Genomic DNA, 6,000 nt, shown 5'->3' with positions numbered 1-6,000 from the left:
TAATCCTGGCTACTTGGGAGGCTGAGGCAGCAGAATTGCTTGAACCCAGGAGGCGAAGGTTGCAGTGAGCCAGGATTGCGCCACTGCACTCCAGCCTGGGTGACAGAGTGAGACTCCATCTTAAAAAAAAAAAAAATGCAAAAGTCAATGTAACTCACCAACATTGTAAACTAAAACAGAAAAGCCATATGATCATCTCAATACACACAGAAAAACACTAAACAAAACCCAACATTCATTCCTTATTTAAAAAATACAAAACTCCACATAGAGGAGAACCTACTAAACTTGATAAACAGCATATATGAAATATCTGTAGCTAATATCATACTTAATGACATAAGACTGAACATTTTCCCCATAGGATCAAAAATGAGACAAGGAAATCCACTTCTACCACGACTGAAACTGCCTTTGCAAAATTATGACTGAGACAGTGAGAGATCTAACTTAACTGACTCCATCTTGCTTCTAACCTCCAAGTTGTCCTTGCTCATTCCTGGGTGTAGACTGAACTACCTTTGGGAGAAACTTAGTTTATAGTTTATAGTTTAAAACAAAGACGGTAACAGCCCTTTCCCAAAGCAGACCTCCTTCTTGCCTGGGCACCAGACTGCCTTCGTAGGACTCACATTAGACACAAGATTAGAAATTATGGTTTAGGAGTCATGCAGCTGAAGGCTAAAGATTCTGACCCTCCCTAAACTGCTCTTGAGATCAGTGCTTGAGAAATTTTGCAGACCCTGCACTTGATGGATCAGCTGGCACCATCCAGATCAATAAACTGGCTCATCTGACCTTGTGGCCCCCACCCAGGAACGGACTCAGCTCAAGAAGAAAGCTTCAACTCCTTTTGATTTCACCCCTGACCAATCAGCACTCCTGGCCCACTGGCTTCCCCCCACCCACCAAGCTGTCCTTAAAAACTCTGCTCCTCAAATGCTCAGGGAGACTGATTTGAGCAATAATAAAACTCCGGTCTCCCACCCAGCAGGCTCTGCCTGAATTACTCTTTCTCTATTACAATTCCCGTCTTGGTGAATCGGCTCTGTCTAGGCAATGGGCAAGGTGAACTCATTGGGCAGTTACACTTCTATTCATTATGTACTTAGAAGTTCTAGCCAGTGCAGTAAAGGAAGCAAAAATAAATAAAAGGCATTCAGAGTGGGAAGAAAAAAGTACAACTGTCTTTATTCACAGACAACATTGACAGAATAGCCAATGGAATCCACAAAAAAGCTTTGAAAACAAATTACATTAAGGTCTCAGGATACAAGATTAATATACAAAAACCAAGTGTATTTTTATATATTAGCAATGAATAACTGGAAGCTGAAATTCACAGTATCAAAATATATGAAATAGGAGTAAATCTGACCACATCCCTTCAAAAAACTGGAAAGATTTGTACACAAAACTACAAAATATTGTTGAGAAAAATTAAAGAAAAACTAAATAAATTGAGAAATATAACATAGTCATGGTTTGGAAAATTCAATTTTATTAAGAAGTCAATTCTTCCCCTGAAATTATCTGCAGACTCAAAACAATCCCGACAGAAATTCCAGCCAGCTTTTTTGTAGAATGTGACAAGTTGATTCTAAAACAGAAATGCAAAGGACCTAGGACTGGTAATTGTTGAAGGTAGGTGATAAATACATCACTTGGTATTTCATTACATTTTTCTCTCTACTTTGTAAATGTTTGAAATTTTCCATAGTGAAAATGTTTGAATAAAAACTGAGATTTTCCAGGAACACATATAAATACAAAATATCCTTCCTTTAAATTTTTCATTACATTACAAAAATGGTTTCCTCTTTCACACTACCTTAAGTCTAACTCCCTGGCTTGGTTTCCCAGGCCCTATAACCAGTCCTCTCTGCTTCCTGTTCCTCTATGACAGGGGTCAACAAACCACAATCCAGGGCTAAATCTGACCCATCACTTGTTTTTTTTCGGCCCAAAAACTAAGAATGTTTTGAACTTTTAAATGGTTGGGGAAAAAAAATCAAAAGACTATTTTGGGCTGGACACTGGCTCATGCCTGCAATCCCAACACTTTCAGTGGCCGAAGAGGGTGGATAGCATGAGCCCAGAAGTTCAGGAGTTCAAGACCAGCCTGGCCAACATGGTGAAACACCGCCTCTACAAAAAATACAAAAATTAGTGGGGCGTGGTGGCGTGTGTCTGTAGTCCCAGCTACCTGGAAGGCTGAGGTGGGAGGATCACTTGAGCCTGGGAAGTCAGGGCTGCAATAAGCTATGATCAGGCTGCTGCCCTCCAGCCTGAGCAACAGAGTGACACTGTCTCAAAAAAAAAGAAAGAAAAAAAGAAAATGTTATTGAAACATAGTCACATTCATTCACATCTGTAGTGGCTGTGGTTACTTTTGCACTACAATGATGGAGTTGATTAGATGCAACAGAGACCTTAAGGTCTTCAATGACTAAAACATTTACTGTCTGGCCCTTTACAGACAGTCTGTCAATCCCTAATTTATTATATGCCTTCTTCTCCCTCAGCTAACTAATTGCCTCACCCCAGGAATGTTCATTACTACCTCTTCTTTGTTCAAGCCCCAGCTACTCCTCAAAACCCAAAATTCCCTTCTTCCCCTTTCCCAAATCCTAACCATATCAGCAGTTTGTGTGGAAGTAGGTAAGCAAAACACCATTCGTTATTGTGTAAAGCAAGGCATTGGAGATGCGGTCCCTACATGTACAAGGGGAGGCTGATTACCCCCCGATTCATTTCCAATTTCTCAAAGCAGGTTGGCAGGCTAGCACCTAGGAAGGAGAGAGCGAGCAGATGATGCAGACAGAGCACTGAGAAACTCCTCAGTAACTCATGAGAGTTCATGTGTCAGGCCCCTTGTCTGCTATGTCATCCTTTAGACATCAATTCAAGACAGCAAAATTCAAAAAAGAAATGAGGAAGAAAAAGGTGATGAGGGGCAGAAGGAAAAGAGAAGAGAACTTGTCACTTCACAATGTAGAGACAGTCACAAACTGTGGTGAATGAAAAACTATTCCATTCACCTGGGCATGGTGGCTCACACCTGTAATCCCAGCACTTTGGGAGGCTGAGGCAGGGAGATAACTTGAGGTCAGAAGTTCAAGACCAGCCTGACCAACATGGTGAAACCCCGTCTCTACTAAAAATACAAAAAATTAGCCAGGCGTGGTGGCACACGCCTGTAATCTCAGCTACTTGGAAGGCTGAGGCATGAAAATCACTTGAAACCAGGAGGCGGAGGTTGCACTGAGCCGAGATCGTGCCACAGCCTGGACGACAGGGTAAGATCCAAAAAAAAAAAAAATTAAAAAAAAAAAAAGAAAAGAAAACTGTAGAGACTCTAGCAAGAAAAGAGGTAGTCCTCCATTACTGGGAGGCCCAAGCAGAACAGCCTATGAAGGAGGGGGCATAGCAGAGCTTTACCTTGAACACCTCAACTCATCAGGTGTCCTGATTTCTTGAGTTAGCACACAAAATGAAGTGGCAAAATCTGCTGGCTTAACACTCAGAGATTACTATCTTCCTTGCGTGCCATTTGGAAACAAATAGTTTTGTTTGCTTGCTTGTTTTCAAACGGGGTCTCACTCTGTCACCCAGGTTGGAGTGCAGTGGTGCAATCACAACTCATTGCAGCCTCAATCTCCTAGACTCAAGGGATCCTCCCACCTCAGCCTCCTGAGTAGCTGGGATCACAGGCGAGTGCCACCATGCCTAATTTTTTTTTTTATTATTTTTAGTACAGATGAGGCCTCACTATGTTGCCCAGGATGGTCTTGAACTCCTGGGCTCAAGCAATCCTCCCTCCTTGGCCTCCCAAAGTGCTGGGATTACAGGTGTGAGCCACTACACCCAGCTTGGAAACAAAAAAATGAATCTCTGTAACTGAAGTCCCAAATAGGAAACCCTGAGCTTTTGAGGATACATAATTTTTTCATCTCCTCCAATTTAAAGTGGCAAATGAGGACGGGCATGGTGGCTCTCACCTGTAATCCCAGCACTTTGGGAGGCCAAGGTCAGGAGTTTGAAACCAGCCTGGTCAACATGGTGAAACCCCCATCTCTACCAAAAATATAAAAATTAGCTGGGTGTGGTGGTGCTTGCCTGTGATCCCAGCTACTCAGGAGGCTGAGGCAGGTGAATCACTTGAACCTAGGAGGCAGAGCTGCAGTGAGCCAAGATCGTGCCACTGAACTCCAGCCTGGGCAACAGAGTGAGACTCCATCTCAAAAAATAAATAAATAAAGTCGCAAATGAGAGAGGAAGCAGATTTTGGAAGTGCGTAGATGCCTCAAAGGTCAGCATTTGATCTTACTGCCTATGAGTTCCCAGTAAAAGCAGAACATGTGAAAGGACTCTGAGGCACAAAAATACAGTTGGATAGTCCTGGGCAGGCAATAGGAAAGTTGAGTAAATGTGTGTCTAAAATGTGCATTTCTAGGCTGGGCACAGTGGCTTACACATATAATCCTAGCACTTTAGGAGACCGAGGCAGGAGAATCACTCAAGCCCAGGAGTGTGAGATCAGCTTAGGCAACATAGTGAGACGCTGTCTCTACAAAAATAAAAATTAGCTGTGGTGATGAGTACCTGTAGTCCCAACTACTCAGGATGCTGAGGCAGGAAAATCACTTGAGCCCAGGAGGTGGAGGCTGCAGTGAGCTGTGATTGCACCATTGTTGCCCTCCAGCCTGGGCAACAGAGCAAGACCTGTTTCTAAAATAATAATAATAATAATAATAATAATAATAATTAATAATAATAATAAAATGTACATTTCTAACTTCATTTCAAAGTTAAGGCCAGGTGCAGTGGCTCATGCCTGTAATCCCAGCATTTGGGAGGCCGAGGGAAGAGGATCACTTGAGCCTGGGAATTCGAGACCAGCCTGTGCAAAATAGTGAGACTCTGTCTCTAAATAAAAATAAAATAAAAAGTAAACAAAGTCAAATTTTTTAAAAAAATCAGAACAAAAGCTGGGCACAGTGGCTCACGCCTATAATCCTAGCACTTTGGGAGGCTGAGGCAGGTGGATCATGAGGTCAGGTATGCAAGACCAGCCCGGCCAAGATGATGAAACCCCGTCTCTACTAAAAATACAAAAAATTAGCCAGACGTGGTGGCATGCGCCTATAATCCCAGCTGCTCCAGAGGCTGAGGTGGGTGGATCATGAGGTCAGGAGTGCAAGACCAGCCTGGCCAAGATGGTGAAACCCCGTCTCTACTAAAAATACAAAAAATTAGCCAGATGTGGTGGCATGCGCCTATAATCCCAGCTACTCCAGAGGCTGAGGCAGACAATTGCTTAAACCTGGATGGGCGGAGGTTGCAGTGAGCCCTGATCATGCCACTGCACTCCAGCCTGGGTGACAGAGTGAGACTCCGTCTCAAAAAACAAACAAAAAAAAAAACAAAACCCCCCCCCCAAAAAAACATCAGAAGAGAAACGTTGAACTGCATACTTCCAGGCCCAACAGAGTAGAGGTCAGCACAGGCGCAACCAGGTTGCATATCTACATACAATCTGCCCTGGCAGGAAGGACATCCTTTTCTTCCAGGCTTAACCACTCTAGGTGACCCAGATTATTTTAAATTATAGCGTCAACAATTTAAAGCAGCTTTTACTGTAAGGCACAATCTCAATAATTAATAGGGCAATATAATAAATACATAAAAGCTCAGGGAGAAAACAAGACTCTTGAATGGGCCTGGAAGTTTTGCCACGTCCCCCAAAGTACTCTCGGTTGCATCCTTCGGAACCTTTCAACACATACACATATACCTCCCTCATCCTTTTGTGAAGAGTGTCTATTAATTACTAGATTAAGAGGATTTGGATAAAATTTATAAACGTACAAACTTTGCTACCAAGGACTGACACATTTACTTTTCTAGCTCATCAGTTTATGTCCTAGAAAAACTCCAGAGCCACATTAACCAGCTGTTTCCTATTTTACATTTTACGATGGTGTTTCCACTTTCACC

The sequence above is a fragment of the Homo sapiens genome, chromosome 22 (assembly GCF_000001405.40).
Source record: "Homo sapiens chromosome 22, GRCh38.p14 Primary Assembly".
Lineage (NCBI taxonomy): Eukaryota > Metazoa > Chordata > Mammalia > Primates > Hominidae > Homo > Homo sapiens.
Note: the sequence above shows the minus strand (reverse complement) of the source record.